The 18,534-nt window shown below is 36.7% G+C and overlaps 1 annotated feature.

Annotated features, from left to right (window-relative positions):
• Nucleotides 447-2,370: an enhancer, noted in NCBI's record as "VISTA enhancer hs1557". NCBI's record gives its function as "enhancer in: hindbrain (rhombencephalon)[8/8] | midbrain (mesencephalon)[8/8] | dorsal root ganglion[6/8] | forebrain[8/8] | trigeminal V (ganglion, cranial)[8/8]" and the evidence as "EXISTENCE:transgenic organism evidence [ECO:0001131][PMID:17130149]".

Genomic DNA, 18,534 nt, shown 5'->3' with positions numbered 1-18,534 from the left:
ACCAATTATTTTCTTTATAAAATCTACAAATTACTTCTTTCCTTCTGTTATTTTAATCATGGAATTTGAGAACTAGGAGGAATTTAGACTTCCTCTAGTGCAAGTTATACATGTTACAAACAAGGACATTTAGGTTCTGACAGAATAAATGATTTTCTTAGGGTCACACAGCTAGTTAGCAATAGAATGATTGCGGATCTAGTTGAGAATTATCCACCATAACACTTAAACATGGCTGATTACCAACAGAATTTTAGATAGTTAGTCCAAATCACTTTTTAAAAATCAAAATAACTTTGAAGTTACATACTTTCTAAAGATCAGAAACTCTCAGATCTGTGACACTTGATTTACTTTGATACCTGGGTGTTTTTTGTTTCCACACAAACAAGTCGGGGAGGGGAACAGCAAAACAACCCTGTTCTTCAGCAGTCCTAGGAAACTATCACCAATACCCCTCATCTGCTATTTTCTAAAATTATACTCTAGGGTGTAAACTCCTGCTATTTAACCGGTTGGCATAGGGAGACTTTTATTTTTCCTAAAATGTAGATACCATTTTGTCCAAGATAATCAAAATCCACTCAGCCATAAAAGCTCCATTTTGCTGTTTGACATCATAGAGCATTTATTTGTCTTTTCACTAAGCATTAAGGATGGCTAACAGCACAGATCATTTGCCAATGATCTTGTCTTTGTGCCATATTTATTAGTCCTTTGTGACACTATCTCCATCTACTGATACTCTTCTCCCCAAATCCTCTTTCCATTTTCTTGTGTGACACACAAACTGATGATGGGCAGTCTTCAGCTGAACACACTGTGATCCTCCCCCTGTTTCACGGGTCCCCTTTCCCCCACTTCCATGCTGGCACAGAGCAGGCTCAGCATCAGGAGTCTGCTTCTGATGCCACAGGCTTTCTGAAATGGTTATGTCGGCATGGTTTTCCTAGGAGATGGCAACCCTACAACTCTCCACCTTACCTATTTCAGCCAGTGCCAGGATTTTATTTTCCACCCCTTTATTAAAAAACAACATACTGTGCCATTTTGGGTGCTTCTAAATGTGGGTCTACCCTCAATGGCTCATTAACAACATTTCTCAATTCAACTTCATCCGCTAGTCTCTGCAGTGGTTTGACATCAGTTACATTTCTGTCTTAAGTCTGACCCAATAAAAGTCATCTCTTCCCAGCTTATCTTTACCTTCTCTCAAGTGTGAATATAAGATTTATCAGTTATTAAGCTGTTTATTTTTTTAAAGGTATCTAGCTTTGTGTCACTGTTGATTTCACTATTTGCAAACTGGCTTTGTCATTTTATTGATAGCACTTGAGTGAAGAGCTCCCTGTTAATATATGCAAACTCACAGCTCCCAACAAGCTTTCCAGCCCTGTTAATGAGAGGATTAGCAAGAGCACTGCAATGTATTTAACCTGCGGCACTAGCTCTGTTTCAATAAGACTTCAACAGCCTATTAAATGGAGTGGGGGCTCAATTAACCCACACAAAGGCCACTCTACCCAACGTGGCAGGGAGGACCACATTTAGCATCTGCCTAAGCAGCTTGTTGGAAGCTGGAAATAAAGGGGGTGACATGTTCTTGCCTGGAGCTATGATATAACTGAAATGGTGATTCTAGTTCATCTGGGCTGACTGAATAGGTGACAGCATTGAAACCCACTATCTCGCCATATGACAGTTTTTTAAAAAATCAGAGTATACTCAACGGTCACTCCACCCCCCCCATGCCTTCTTCTAAGGGAGCACCCTCATTGTTCCTGGGGCAGTCAGTAGGAGTCATGGATCATGGATTTGAGGATGTCAGGGAGTGACAGTTTGTGTATGGGGAGGAGGGATGATGGAGTACACCAAGAAGTCCCAGGAAATGCATTATGTTCAAACAGCATTTCCTCATGTAATTAGAAGTTAGAACTGGCTCCTCATGTCTCATAAGCATGCTTCACCAAACAGCCAGCCAAAGGCCAGCCATTTTGTGCTGGAAATCAAAGTATAAGCAATGGCAACTCATTGAGCTGGATACTTCTACATCTTCACTTGAAGCTTGTTAGGATCATTGAGTTTTGTGGCTTATAGTGTCAACTACCTGTCAGAAAATCCAAACAAATGGTTCCAACATTTCAAGTTGAAAATGAAAGTTGACTAAGTAGACTACTGTTTGTTTGCCCAGGAGGGCATGAATCAACTATAGTGATAAACCGAAATCTCCTCTAATTTTCCACCTGTGAATTCTCCATGTCATAAAGTCAAAGATATATTTGGGATCAAGAGATTGATGTTTCCTCTCCAATTTTCCAGTGGAAGTTTCTCTTTTTAACAACATTTTCTCTTGAAACTCAGCCATACCCAAATATTATTATAGATTGACCATTTAAATTTCTGTATTTATTTTTTAATTTGTCATTGTTTTTATTTTTTCCCATTGTATGCTGTATCTAGATATTAATGCAACTTCCTATTACTGTGCCTTACTTTTTTCTCCCATTACTTGTCACCTCCAAACATACTATATTATATACTTACTTATATGTTCATTGTTTATTGTGTTATCTCCTTGCTAGAATGTACATTTAACAAAGGCCAGGGTTTGGTTTTATTTATAGATGTAATTCAAACATCTAGAACAGTGAAGTCTAGCATATAGGAATTTAATAGTATTTGTGGAATAAATTAATGTAAAGAAGCAGCACAGGTTATGTTCTAATTATGGAATCATAACCGATGGTTCATTAGAGAAAACTGCCATATAAGAATAGTCCATTCCACCATTACAAAATAAAGAAAAAGCTCTAAATTCTAGGTTGACAGGCCAGGTGAAGTCACCAGAGTGGATGTATTTGACGGTGCACCATTTCCTTACACCAGAGTGGTGAGGGCCTGGGTGGAGGATAATTTCGTAAATTGGGTTGAACCACACAGTCTTGTGAAGTGGGCTGCATGCTTATTAGATCTGAACCCTTTCACTTACTTATTCTGGGGTATGCTAAAGGCACAGGTTTATTTAGTGAAAATTAGAGACATAAATTCCTGAGGCATTGTATTCCAGATGTATATATAGGGACTGATGGAAATTCTGCATTAATGCACCACACTCATTGCAATTTCGTACAAAGCATTAAGCTATGAATTGCTAAAAAGGAGGAACATATTGAAGACATTGTACAATGCTTTTGACTATATAACTTATTGTAATGTAACACTAATAACCCATTTATTATGGATATTCATTTGCCTGTGTTTCCAGGCTTCAGGTTACCGTAAAACTAGAGAGTATTTTACACTCTTGATCATGAACTCTTCACATTAATAGCACTGACAGCTACAACTTCCATTTGTATATCTGGGTAACCTCAGAGCTGATACAAATTTTTTAATTGTTTTTCCTTTGGATGTTCATGTAAGCAGGTGGGTACCTGTGACTATTCCATGCAGGGGCTACTGGAAAGATAGCTCTAACTCCCAGTCTTGGATACACTTTGGGCCTCTTGATAGGTAAGAAATAGCATTTTTTGTGGGTGTGTTCTATAAAGACAAGAGCCATCTTCTGTTTGCCAACAAAAGAATCTTGTTCAAAGTAGATCCCAGCTATACCATTGCCTCTGAGGCACATGGGTATAATAAAGAATGTATCATAAGAGAGCATGTTTTCACTTGTTAGGCTAGAAAGACATTCTCAGGTAATGAGATCAGTGGTACTCCAGGGTACACAACTACTCCCTAGTTGATTCTTCCATCAGTTGTTGGGGAAAGATCAGAGAAAACCATGAAGAAAATTGTATTAATTGTGCCCCATTCTTACTCCACTGTCTGGGCACCAAGACACTGAATGTTTGCCCCATTCTCAAAGAAACTTGTCTGTATCTCTTTGGTTCATGAAGAAGCTTGTTTGACATTTTATGTTTAAAATTTTGATTTTACAAAGAGACACAAGCTAAGTCAGTAAATGTTCTAATGGTATTGCTGTCCAGAACAAAGATTTCTCTAATTAGTATCAAAGTATAACTGAAAAGATAACTTTCAGTTAATTAGTATTTACACTAAATCTGCCATACAATGAGTTATTGTGAAATTTGACATTTGAATGAAATCTCTTTAGAATAACTGAAGCAGCCACCTTATTCTGACCCCAGTTGAGTCACAAGGAGACATAATAGCCTTCATCAGCAGCCTGTCTAGAGTACTGTTCATCACTTTTTTTGTCAATAAATATTTTTCCAGTTTATGAACACACCCTCCCAAGCTATAATGTAAATTCACTGCTACTTATCTATTTTATGGAAATGATCTCATATAAGATTACTCATCTCTTTCTTTATTTACAAAACAGAAACAAAAAACAAAATAACCCTCAAATGACCCTTAGCAATTTTTTTTTTTATCCAAACCACAAGATGTTTTACAAAACTTTATAGTGGTAGAAAAACTACTTAGAAAGCAGAAATGAGGCAATTTAGAACCTAGATAGAGCCAGAGTGTTTGAATAAATTAAATTTGTCCCCAGAAACAACATATAAACAAAATGGAATCCCCTACAAAAGCCACCTAGGTGTTTGGCACAGAGTTTGAAAATCATTGTTATTGATTTTAGTTATTGGTTTTTTGGGTCCTAGTTTTAACCTGATTGGGGAATAAAAGAATGTGGAGATTTGCTGCTCAATATGGATTTATTGAAATGGGAGGAATTATCCTCTATTTCATTTTATTAAGACAAGAGATGAAAATATTGAGTTATTTCCTGTAATAATCTCCATTGTTATTGATGTGTCAAGTACCCTGCAAGATGCTGCAGATACGAAGTTAAATAAAATGTAATAACTAACATCACAGAAGTTTGAAGGTACTCAAACAATTTCAATAAAATATGATAAATGCTAATATAAAGAAATACGATCAACGATAATCTCTGTTATGTGAACATGGACTACTCATGCTTGAAACTAACAATATTTCTCCAATGGATTCTGGAATTTGGAGCTCACTCTGTGATACAGCTGTCCTTCATTTTCTGTGTTGCATTTGCCATATTGTGTGGTGATAACCATCATATGAAAAGTAGATTCAAACTTGGTTGAATCAGTAAAATGGACACGAAAATTCATACTTTGTTGGCTTGTTGTGCAGGTCAAACAAGTAGTTGCTGAGCCCAGTGCCTGGAATATGGTAGACCTTCAACAAATAATAGCTGTTGTTGATACTGTTCTTGTTATTGTGGTTATCACTAGATTCGGAGAAACTCCAGTAAACAATGTTTTTCTGTTATGGTTGTGTTAAATTGCAGCACTTTTGACTCCCTGTGGTTCACCTACTTGCTGTTGTTTGTTCCTCTCTTCCTCTCCTTTTCTCATGCCCCTAGTGTGTTTCCATTTTACCCATGAGTAATGGGCATTGCCCCTCACATTTGTCTTCCTTCCCAAATCATTCTCCTTTCAGGAAAAAGAGTTTGAAATATGAGAAATCAAGGGGTTTGGGAGTTTTCAGGGGAAAGGAGATGAGAATGAAGTAGGTGAGGACTTTTAGTTGATTCAGACACTCAAGGGCATCACTGGTAAACTTTAGGGGAGTCTAGAAACTGATGGGGGATCAATTGACTTGGTTTGAGAACAAGGTAAGAACATTTTTCTGTGTTTATCAGAATACTTGAGAGAACGTATTGATATGAATATTCTGGAATATTCAGAAAGCCTAGTGTAAGTAAGAGGTGAGAGAAGCCGAGAGAGGAGGAGAATGAAGCACCAAGAGTAAAGCTTTGGTCGCAAGAGACCATTCCAGAGTCAGCCTGGTGTGTGGGCATCAAAGAAGATGAATTTGGAACCCAAACTGTCATTGAGCACATTTTTAAAGCTGATTTTAGTTCTGCAGTTATTAGTAACTAGTCAAAATAAACTGACAATGCCCTGAGGCTTTAGGAGATAGTGGAAGGTTAGAGAAATTCAAGATATATAATCAACTCTATGGAAGATTTTGAGCATCTATTTCTTATATGTAGTCAAAATATATCTTTTCTCTTTAATTCATACTATTTTTTCTGTGCTCTTTTCCTCTTTAAGAAAAATAGTTTCAATGAAGTATAATATACCCATTGAAAAGTACACAGAAATGTTCTGGTTGGGAAATTTTTACAAAGTGAACACGCTCTTGCTGCCAGAATTCAGATCATGAAACTGAACATTACTAGAGCCTCCCAAACATCTCTTGTACTGCCATTTAGTCATTAACACAACTGCCCTTCATTGCTCAGCATAATGGGTAAAGATCCTAACATTTAGCAGCTTAGAATAGCTTCCCTGTTTCTGTAGTTTATTTAATGGAATTACACAGTATGTACTCTTTTAATGTCTGACTTGTTAATCTTTTTTTGTTTTTTGGTAAGATTCATCTACCTAAGGCTTTTAATATTAAATAACATTTAATATAACTGTTTCTAAATAAAATATGTATGGGATTACTATCCAGGATATTATATATACATTTAATAAAAATTAGTAAATCTTTTATAAATTGGTTTATTCATTTATTTAATTGGCATTTATGCCATGAGAAACAAGGAAAGGAGAGATATAATCCCAGCTCTCAAAATCTTAGCATCAATAGTGAAGACCAAAACTAATTCCAAGGATGAGCATCTTCACCACTGATGTTAAGATTTTGAGAGCAGGGATTATATCTCTCCCTTTATCCTTTAGAATAAAGGATGGCATGAGTGGGAACAAAGTGGAACACTTTGGAACTCTTAATGTATACTTAGCTTTGGTAGAGAAGTCAATGGAGTACTTAGTGGGGTGTTGGGAATGATACTCTCCAAACACAGGCATGGTCTGTAAAGAATTTAAAAATAATAAATCGCAACTGAAAATGCTTTTTATTATTATCATGCACCAACAATTTAAAACTTATCAATGATTATTCTCCCCACACACATAACAAACTTTTTGAGTTTAGATTCTAGACAATTGCTATAAATGTAATCTTCAGATTAGCACATTTTTATTACCATTTACTAAACAGGTAGTCTACATGGAAGTTAATTTGGAAGATTCTCAGTTTTGTCATTGGCTTCTGACACCTGTGGACTTGACTACAAGTGTTTGTTTCAGCAATGAATTCTCAATGGTTCTGAGTCATTCAAGTTTGCTTCAAGCCAGTTTGAGTCTTAAACTGCTGTGGTGGGTCCTAAATTAACAATAATAAAGTTGAAGCAACAGAACTCAAGTTATCTCATTTTTGCTTTTTCTTTGTGATCACTTGGAGTTTTAATTTATGTTTAAATTTAAAACAGTGAACCAGGATGTGAACTGCAAGATGTGGTATTTCATTTGGTAAGTACAAATTTTAGTTTATACATAAAACATCTTAAATAATGAATATCTTTTGAATAACTTAAATTTGAGTATCTTTAAAATTGGTGTTTCTTCTTTAGTGTTAGTTAATTAAGAAATGAGCAAAAAACTCCAATGTTAAGTTAATGGTATGATTTCATAGTTACTTAAATTGGAATTTTTGCATTTAATTTAAAAGTATTAATCCATTCTTTTCTTCTTTTTTTAACTTTGATATTTTATTCTATTCTTTTTCACTAACATGACTAGATATATAAAGTTCAATAAAATAACATTTTTTACTGTTTACAACTATTTTCTGATCATTGTACATTTAATTTCATGATTATTGCTGAAAATTTTTGTGTACAGAGGAGGAAGTGTTAAAAAATGATGTACCCAGGGTATTGGGTACGCTAGGTACGTCATCGAGAGAAGAAAAGTACAAGGTATTTTAGATATACAAGATGCTGTTGCTTTTGGATTTAAAAAGACGATTATTTACCTAAATTTGGTTGAGGGAGGGCTAGTTCACATCTTTCTCCAAATGAAAGTGAAAATGGAGCTTGCCTGTCATTGGGAACGCTTAGTGAGCATTAGAGTTTGGAATAAAGATGAAAGCGTTGTGCTAACATGGTGTTTGATAGGTCCACTGCAGCCTGTTCAGTTTGGGACAGAACTGACCATCTGCTTAGAGCTTTTTAAGTGTGTTTAAGCAGTCTGAGATGGTCTTTGTTGCTTTGGGTCTTTGTGTTGGCGTGTATTATTATTCCAAATTGTTGGAAGCCAGTCTTGCAGGAGGTAAGGTTTTGAATTCCTGATGGTGTGTGAATTTTTGTCCCCAAGGTTTCTCTCTGGGATGAATTGATTTGCTGGCCAGAAATGAGGCTGAATTCCTCCATCAGGTTAAAGGCTGCTGACACAGGGTGTTTGGTTTAGCAGCCTGCCCCAAGCGCCTCATCTGCATACTGATAAAGCCTGCTTCCCTCCCAGCCCAAGCTTGGCAGTGGCCATTGCTAATGCAAGCTGTTTGGGGAACAAAGGAGAATTCAATCTAGTTTTCACCTTAATGTAAGTAGGCCAAAAGGAAAGGTTCCTCATCTTTATTAAAGTCTACTCCCTTTATTTTTAAGCGGGCAACTACCTTTAGTTACATTTCACAGACTTCTGCTGCCTCAGAGACTGAAAGAACTTCAGTTTTTCTTAATCTTCCCCTTTGCCCTAATCAGGCATCTCTTCTCCAGATTTTCTAAGACACTCTATTAATTTGCTAGTGCTGCCAAGATGAGGTACCACAGACTGGGTGGCTCAAACAACAGAAACTTGTTTTCTCATGATTCTGGAGCGTAGGAGCCCAAGATCAACAAGATCAAGGCATCAGCAAGGTTGGTTCCTTCTTAGGCCTCTCTTCTTGGCTTGCAGATGACCATCTTCTCTCTGTGTCTTCATTCACAGGCTCTCTCTCTGTGTGCCTGCCCTAATCTCCTACTCTTATAAGGACACCAGTCATATTGGATTAGGCCCAACCATATGGCCTCATTTGACCTTAAATACCTCTGTAAGGACTCATCTCCAAATACAGTCACAGTGTGAGGCACGGGAGCTTAGGATTTCAACATATGAATTTGGGGACAGGAGAGGAAAGGCAAAATTCAGCCTATAGCAGACAGGATCTTTCAGGTGCAACTTCAACCTGGGCATGACACTTCTGGTCCCAAATGATGTATTAGCCGTCTTTTTTCTAGCCTTGGAAAATATTCTGAATTGAAATAAAGTATTGCCTCAAGACAGGCTAGACCTACACATACATGTCTTGGCAAGTCAGCTTTCAGTGGTATAGATGGGTATTTTTTTCTGATTTTATACTTGTGAGTACTTCATTCCAGAGCTTTCAAAGATATCTGCTGAATTTCAAAAGAATCAGCATTGGGCAAAACTAATATGCTGGGGAGAAGATCGTGAAGGTATTATTATGATTATGATTATTAGTATTTAAAATAATGCCTAAGTTCTATTAATGGAATAAATAAGTGTGGTAAACATCTAGCAAGCTGTCAGTAATTTGAGGAGGATAGAATTTATTTGACATTTTCTGTATAAATGGATCCAGGTATTATTTTAACCATTGTCTTGGTGGGTGAAAATTATACAGTCTCAAAGCCAGACCCTAATAAGACTTGGGGAAAAAATATCAACTAGGACTATTTCTATGTGATTCTAGAATATTTTGCTTATAACAGAGAAAGTGGGTAGCTTGGTCTATTTCAAGACTTGGACCTTGCTAGGAGAGAATATCTACTTTTTAAACATGTTATAACCACTGTTATTATGTGGCCTAGGAGAAAGAAATGACTGATACAATACGTATGGCTTTTTCTGACTTTATTTAAATACAATAAATGTTAACTTTTAATATATTTTCTTTGTTCCTACTGCTTTCACTTTTTTCTTTCAATATGCCCTGTTATCAAGGATAAAATGGAGCTGCAAAGATGAAGAGTTAGAATGTGATGGAGAGGTATGGTCCAATGTGTAGGAAGGTAGAATGTCACAACAGCAATGATAAAACTTAGTCTGCATTTTGAATTCATTCATTCATTCATTCATTCATTCTACACTGGACCATGTTGCAACGAAATAAACAAGACAGCCAGAAAGTCCTGGTCTTCCAGGAAGCTGACATTTGTAATCAATGTACTACATAGATGTGGCAGGCAATCACTAAGATAAATGATTTTTCCAAAAGCAAAGTTTGAGCATAGCTTATAAAAACTGAAAATATAAATTAAAACATAACAGAAATTTTAATTTTCTCCTTAGATTTGAAAGCTGGTACTTCTCCAACAAGCTAGAGCTGAGAGTCTCTAACAGGGGAAAATCAAAATATTTATTCCAAGTAGGATTAAGGGAATCTGTATATTGGCTGTGAAATCAAAGAAAAGCTTTTACTTAGTAAGTTTGAAATTACTTGTAATTTTTCCTATGATTAACTATCACAAACACCCAACAAATTCTGCTCAGAGCCCAAGTTATATCTAAAATAGTGTGTGTCCCAGTAGTTATAGACCTGACCTTTTTTCTTAAAAAAAAAAAAAAAAAATGTTCTCTACCCTTGCTCTTTTCTAGGGTTACAATGTTAGTTTAAATCAGATGTTAGTTGTCATGCATTTTGGAGAGCCATCCATTCATTGATGTAATCATCATAAGTGTATCTATCCATCCATTCATCCATCCATCCATCTGTCCATCCATTCATCCATCTATCCATCTGATGCCTTGGCAAGTGTCTGGCCTATTTTAGGCCTTCAGCAAATATTTGTTGAATGAATAAATAAATCACCCAACCTTGACTGTCTACCATGTGCAACTAATAATCCGCAGGTATAGTAGCCCAGTTATACCATTGGCTTATCACATATTCACTTGCTGTTTTCCAGGAGGATTTTGTGTTGATTATTATGATGGTGACAGGGGAAGTGTGAATATAATTTTTGTAACAAATAGCTTTCTGAACACAAAAATTTCCCAATAATATGTAACTTTTAGATATACATAGGATGAATTGTTAAGAAAACTAAGCATCAGATTATCAGGTTAGCAGTTAGAAAACTCTTGCAGGCAGTATAAAGTGTGATATTCCTGTGACTTGGAAACTTAGTGTTTGCCACTTTCTCTGAAGGGAGAATACGGTGAATCAGATTCACTTGAAAAACCCCCAGAAACTTGCTGGAATCTACCTTAATGTCTCCTTAGGGGAATTAAATCCACAAGGCCAATCAGTTCTCAAAGAATTTTTCAGTCTCCCAAGGGAAGTGGAACAACCTTTGGTGGACAGTGTTAGAGGGAAGAATACTGGAGCTGGTGGATATAGGCATATGCTAAAAATGTAGCAGAACAAATTTATGCTTGATTTGTGTGTCTGACCCCTGCCTCTTGGTCATACTGAATAAGCTTAGCAGACACCAGATGTATCATTTCAATTAACATTTTTTGTGTTTTATGGTTTACCAATGATTTTCTTAGTGTTTTCCAAATTGTTCCTCCAAACTACCTTAACAGCAGAATGGGTATACATAATTCCATAGCATCTAAGGAGTGGCCCTGTATATCCTGGAGCAAACCAGAAATTTGCTCTGAAATGTGTGTTTTAGTATGAAATCATGCGTATTCCTTTCTATTTAAATATACCTCTGTGTTTGCTTTAATGTGAACAATGCTTTAAATTAATTATCATGGAGTAAAATATATCCTCAAAACAGTAACTTTCACATACCACCACCCCCCTTTACTCTTCCCTCTGGGCTGTACATTCAATACTTACACTAACCATATGAAATGAATATCACCATTATCCTCTTCTTCGGAAGAGAAATCAAGGATCATAGAGGTCAAAGTTGATAATTACCTAAATGACAGGCATTATCTCAATTAATAGCTTTATACACGTTTAATTCTAACAACCACTCATCACCACCTTTTTATAAAAGAAGAAAGCACAACGTTTGAGAGGTTAAATAACTTGCCTTTGTTCTCAGAGTTATAAGGAGGAATGAGACTGGATTTGAACCCAGTTTGTCTGACTTCAAAGAACCCACTGTTTTCATTATACCCTCGCTTTTTTCAAATGTTCCAAATGAATTTGACATCCTAAGCAATCTGAGTGAAGTAATAAGAGGGGAAAATTTTTTAAGGGAGGGGCCCTGTTATCCACTAATTCTTTTAAGGGTACCAGAAGGGAATTTTTGAAGTTGTGGATTTACCACCTGGAACCTTTGAAAAACATAATAGGAAGTGACCTAGAGATACATGTTCCTTCTCTGTCAACCTGCTGAGGAGATAAAACATAGCTGCTTCCATTAGTCAGTCTGCAAGGGTCAATATGTATTATGTACTTAGCCAGCTATGGTACACATGCAACCACAGTCTTGCTTTCGATGAACTTATAATGTTGTCATACACTTTGGTGAATACCTCTGAATTAGTCTATTCTTGCATTGCTATAAAGAAATATTTGAGACTGGGTAATTTATAAAGAAAAGAGATTTAATTGGCTCATAGTTCTGTAGGCTGTACAGGAAGTATAGTGGCATCTTCTTCAGGGGAGGCCTCAGGAAGCTTACAATCATGCAGAAGGCATAGGGGGACCAGGCAGCTCACATGGCAAAAGCAGGAGCATCAGTGTGAGGAAGGAGGTGCTACACATTTTTAAATGACCAGATGTTACAAGAACTCACTCACTATCATGAGGACAGTACTAAGCAAGGTGGTACAAAACCATTTATGAGAAATCTGCCCCCAGCATCTAACCACCTCATGTAGCTGATAAAGACATATCCGAGACTGGGAAGAAAAAGAGGTTTAGTTGGACTTAACAGTTCCATGTGGCTGGGGAGGCCTCAGAACCATGGCGGGAGGCAAAATACACTTCTTATGTGGCGGTGGCAAGAGAAAATGAGAAGGATGCAAAAGTGGAAACCCCTGATAAACCCATCAGATCTCGTGAGACTTATTCACTACCACGAGAATAGTATGGGAGAAACTGCCCCCATGATTCCCAATTATTTCCCATCAAGTCCCTCCCACAACATGTAGGAATTATGGCGGTACAATTCAAGATGAGATTTGGGTGGGAACACAGAGCCAAACCATATCACCTCCCACCAGGCCCACCTCCAACAGGGAGATTACCTTGCAGTATGAGATTTGGGCAGGGACACACATCCAAACTGTATCAACCACTATCAAGCAATATATGGTTAAGTGCCAGAAAGTAGGTTACACCTCATTACTGCAGGTATTAGGGATTCGTGGAGGAGCTGTGTCACTGAAGAATGGTACAACAGGCTTTATTTGGGAGAAGAGGATGGCAAAGCCCCCATTCCATTTTTACCCAAGACATTGTCGTTTTTCCTTTTCAGTGCTTTACTAATATGTCAGTTCTCCAAGTTATCCAGATCATTTCTTCTAGTTTTTTTGATTCTCAGTAGTACCTGAAAGAGAAAGAGGTGACTAAACTGCCTAGGGCTTCCTGCAAGCATTTCTTCCTCCTCCCATCAAACTCTGTGTGCACATCATCATCAAACTCTGTGTGCACATCATCATCAAACTCTGTGTGCACATCATCATCAAACTCTGTGTGCACATCATCTCTCACCTCTCTCCCTGTATATGTGAGTGTACCTATATATTCACTTAGATAACATTCACTCATTTATGAAATATTTGTTAAAGACCTACCAGGTGCTGGATATGATAGTGAACAATATAGAAGTGACTTCAGCCTTCAGGTAAAGATAAGAGGTAGAACAGAGAGGAAAGACCAGAGAGAGGAGATAACTATAAATGTGCATATTTTCTATATTCACATTTCTTTCTGCTATTCACCTTAAAATAACTGTGCCTTCATATAGTGAGAGAACATGAGCTGAGAGGAGGATGTGGTCATAATCCTGTGTCTTTAAGAGTCATACCTTCCTGAAATAATCTTTCCAGACTCTAGCCTGAATAACATGATTTGAAACAAACTTACGCTGTGGGATGGCTCTTTCTGAACCAAACAGTCCACTTTTGGCAAGTCTTACTGACAGCTGAGAAGCAGTTGTTGGATTGCTTGTTAGCCCTAGCAATTAAATAACAATCACTTTAAAAACAGTATATGGACCTATTGGAAGCAGTATGATGCTACATGTTGGGTATAAAGTTGCCTGGACTTGCTGTGCCTGGTGTTGATAAGGTAGCAGATGGTCTAATAGACTTCATCATTGAGCAGCTAAATTGGTAAGGTCTTAGTTTAATAATCTTGTGTTCTAATGATTTAGGCGAGTGATGAAAGGCAAGGCAATTACTTGTACTTGTAATAATGCCCAGTTGGCCTGGATGGAAGGGACACTCACTCATACATAGTGTGATGTAATTAACTCCCATTCCCCAGAACCATGGCTGCATGGCTGTTTGTAGACAGGCTACCTTGATAATACACATCTCACCTTGATACTAAAACTTAAAAGCATTTTCCAAGTCGAAAACGACTCTTAATTACTTAAATCACTCAAGGAAAGAAAATTTAACTTTATCTTAGTGTAGCATTTCTATATTTCCAAAGCATGAGTATGATCTCATTGGATTCTAAAATATGTTGCTGGGGAATAAAAAGTACTTAAGTGGTATGAACCATTTACAGATGAGATAGTCATTCAGTGGCTTACCCGAGCCATAGAAAATATCTGGAAGGCAACTAGAATCTAGGTATTTCAAATCTTAGATCTGCAATCTTTCCCCCATCTTGTACTCTTTAGACTCATTTTACCCAATACTTCCTCCCTGTCTCTTTGCAGGACATCTCATCAAATCTATGGATTAAAATTATTCCATATATGGAATACAATATAAGTAGTGATAATTACACTTTAATATTCCCCAAGATATGATGTAATTTACACAGAATAGACTACTAATAAATACATTTTTAAATAACATTGATTCTAAAAGATCAATTTACAAGATCAACATGCAAAAATCAATCCCATTTTAAAACACTAACAATGAACATGTGGAAAGCAAAATTTAAAACACAATACCATTTATAACCACTCCAAAAAAATGAAATATTTAGATATAAACTTAACAAAACAAGTATAAATCTGCATGCTAAAAATTACAAAATTTTGATGAAATAAATCACATAAGACCTAAATACATGAAGAATATACTCTATTCATGAACTGGAAGACTTAACATATTAGAGATGTCAATTGTCCCCAGACTGATATACAGGTTTAACACAATTCCTATTAAAATTCAAGCAAGTTCTGTTGTAGGTAGAACAAGCTTATTCTAAAATTTGTATGGAAAAGAACAAGCCATAGAATAGCCAAAACAATTTTCACAAAGAAAAATAAAACAGAAGGTATCACTCTATCAAATATTAAGGCTTGTTATATACCTACAGTAATCAAGACTGTGTAATATTGGCAGAGGGATGGACACATAGATCAATCGGACAGAGCAGAAAAGCCAGAAAGAGAATAGAACCCACACAAATAGGCCAAAATTATTTTTTTCCCCAAAAGCACAAGACCAATTTAATGGGGAAGATTAGCTTTTTCAGCAAGTGATGCTGGAGTAGTTGGACATCTATAGACAAAAAAAATGAACCTTTACTTAAACCTCACACCTCATAAAAATTAACTCAAGATACATAATGGACTTACATATGAAACTGTAAAACTTTTAGGACTAAAACAGAAGAAAATCTTTGGAATCTAGGACTAGGCAGAGTTCTTAGGCAGAGTTCTTAGACTTAATACCAAAAGCATACTCCAAGAAGGGAAGAAATAAATTGGACCTCATAAAAATTAAAAACTTTTGCTCAGCAAAAGACTCTATTAAGAGAATGAAAAGAAAAGCTACAGTTTGGGAGAATATATTTGCCAGCCATATATCTGACAAAGGCTAGTATCTCTAACACAAATTGCTCTCAAAATTCAGCAGCAAAAATGAAAACAATTCAACTAGTACATGGGAAAAAGACATGAAGACACATTTCACCAAAGAAGATATACAGGTGGCAAATAAGCATATGAAAAGAAGCTCAGCATCATTAGCGATTAGGGAAATGCAAATTAAAACCACAATGAGATATCACTACACACCTATCAGAATGGCTAAAATAAAAAATAGTGACAATGCCAAATGGTGGTAGGATGTGGAGAAAGAAACTGAATGACTCATGTACTGCTGGAGGGGATGTAAAATTGTTCAGCCACTCCAGAAAATAGTTTGGTGGTTTTGTTAAAAAAAAAAAAAAAAAAAGAAAAGAAAAAAAAAACCATTGAACATGTAACTACCATACAACCCAGCAACTGCACACGTAGACAATTTTCCAGATAAATGAACACTGGTGTTCACATAAAAACCTGTACACGAATATAGCAGCTTTATTTATGGTAGCCCCAAATTAGAAACAATACAGGTGTCCTTCCGTGGTAGAATGGTTGAAGAAACTGTAATATGTGCATACTTATAGAGTACTAGTCAGCAGTAAATAAGAATGAACTATCAATTCACGCAACCATCTAGATGAAAATCTAGAGAATTGTGCAGAGTGGGGGAAAGAAGCCAATCTCAAAAAGTTACATTTCCATTTATAAATGATAAAATTATAGAAATGGAGAACAGGTTAGTGGTTGCTAGGGGTTAAGCGAGAAATGGGGCTCTTAGGAAAGTGGGTATGACTATAAAAGGATAATTTAAAAGACTCTTGTGGTGATGGAATTATTCTGTATCTTGACTGCATCAATGTCAACATCCTAGTTGTGATATTGTTCCATAGCTTTGCAAGTTGTTACCACTGGGGAAAACTTAGAAAAGGCTCCACAGGGTCTCATTGTACGATGTCTTATAATTGCATATGAATCTACAATTAACTCAACAATTTTTTAAAAAGCTAAAATGATTTTTTGTAACTCAGAATTCATAATACTTCTACTTGAAAACATTTTGTTCAAGTCAGGTGAAGTCTCCAAATTGCTGGTTTTTACTTCATTGTTATCCAATATCATCAGCAAATCTCACATCTCACTGATTTCTCACTTTACAGCTCAGTTTGCTACAAATAATGCAATTCACCTAGTAGACTTACAATAGCACTCCACATTGTCTCGTCCTATCTTCCTATTTGCTATTCTCCACCATTGTTTTACTCAGGTGAGCATCACACCATGGCTAGTTACCTACCAACCTGCCAACTCTCGAGTTCCTTTTAGTTAGTGTCCTACTTTGTTTTTTAATTCTAAGTATTTTCTTGCAGCGCAATTGCTGAGGGGGAAACCACTACAGTGTAGTGAACTCCTACTATGTGTCTAAGTCCTAACCGTGAGGTGATGGTGACTATCAAATTGGTGCCAGAATAATAGAGATAAAAGAAAAAGAATTAAATGGTATTGTCCTGATGAGATACCATCTCCATCCACGAAAGTCAGGTGTATGGTCGGGCCTTTTGGAGGGTTTGGGAGAAGGACCTGGTATAACTTGTTGATGCTGGAGCAGCCAGACCCAACCAAATATTAAAAGATAGGCCTAAAGCAAGGTGTTTCATATAAATATACCCACAAACCTTCTGAGTAGATCCTAACATTATCCCCATTTTACAGCTAGATTGGGAAATTTAGGCTTATTACTGATATATTGTGCAAGATCTAGTAAGTCAGGAACCAGCATGCTGACTCATATCCACGTGATTTTGAAACGTGATTGACTTCCCCATTTGCTACAATGGGTGAGCACTGTAAAGGAACTAGAGTTTTCTCTCTGTAGTCTTAGTCACTGTGTTATGAAGAGATGGACATCATAGTAATACTTATTTCTGATGCAATTAAATGCCTCTAGTTCTTAAAAGGAAGACAAGGAAAATGCTATTCTTATAATCTTCCTCCATGAAAATATTCCTTTAAAGCCTGCATCCTCGCTTTTTGCCCCTTTCCCATAGGGACTCATCTTCTCTTACCTCCTCCAGTAATGAGCTATTTCCACAAATCTTCATGGTTGTTTGCTAATGCAGCAGTACTGTCACAATAGTTAACTTATACAGTGGGCCACCAGCAGTCTCTGCCACAACATCAAACAAAAGTCCAGTTTTTGACAAGAACCCAGTACTGTCTGCCACCATGAGGTAACTAAAGATTGACAGCCCAGGTTTCTCAGCTGAAAGTGTTGAATTTATGCTAGGGGCATCTTGTTGCCTAAAGAAACGTACTCATCCTGGGAGACAGTTTTCTTTATTTTGAAGGTTGGGAATATCCCAGAAGGAGCCTTTAGTAAGAAGATGGATAAATATTCATTGATACAACAAATATTAATTGAGTGCCTCTATGTTCGAGGTACTGTCTGCATTTATTAAGCTCTGTATAGGTGCCAAGCTTTATGTTAAGTGCTTTATATGCACCTCATTTAGTCTTCTAAAGTGTCAGTTATGTAATTTTGCATATCTTTTAAAGTTTGCCACATACCACATCTTACATTACTCTGCATAAATCTTATATGTCTGTTGGAATATGGCAGGTTCAAGAGTCTTCAGGTATACATGGAACCAAAGAGAGACCCCAGCTTGTTTTCGAAGGTTCATTCTTTACCTGTATAAAAGCTGTGCAATGTAGAGTAAAGAATATGTTTTCTCAGTCATGGGATCTAGGTTCTGATC

The sequence above is a fragment of the Homo sapiens genome, chromosome 3 (genome assembly GCF_000001405.40).
Source record: "Homo sapiens chromosome 3, GRCh38.p14 Primary Assembly".
In the NCBI taxonomy this organism is placed as follows: domain Eukaryota; kingdom Metazoa; phylum Chordata; class Mammalia; order Primates; family Hominidae; genus Homo; species Homo sapiens.
This window is presented reverse-complemented; position numbering and strand designations above follow the sequence as displayed.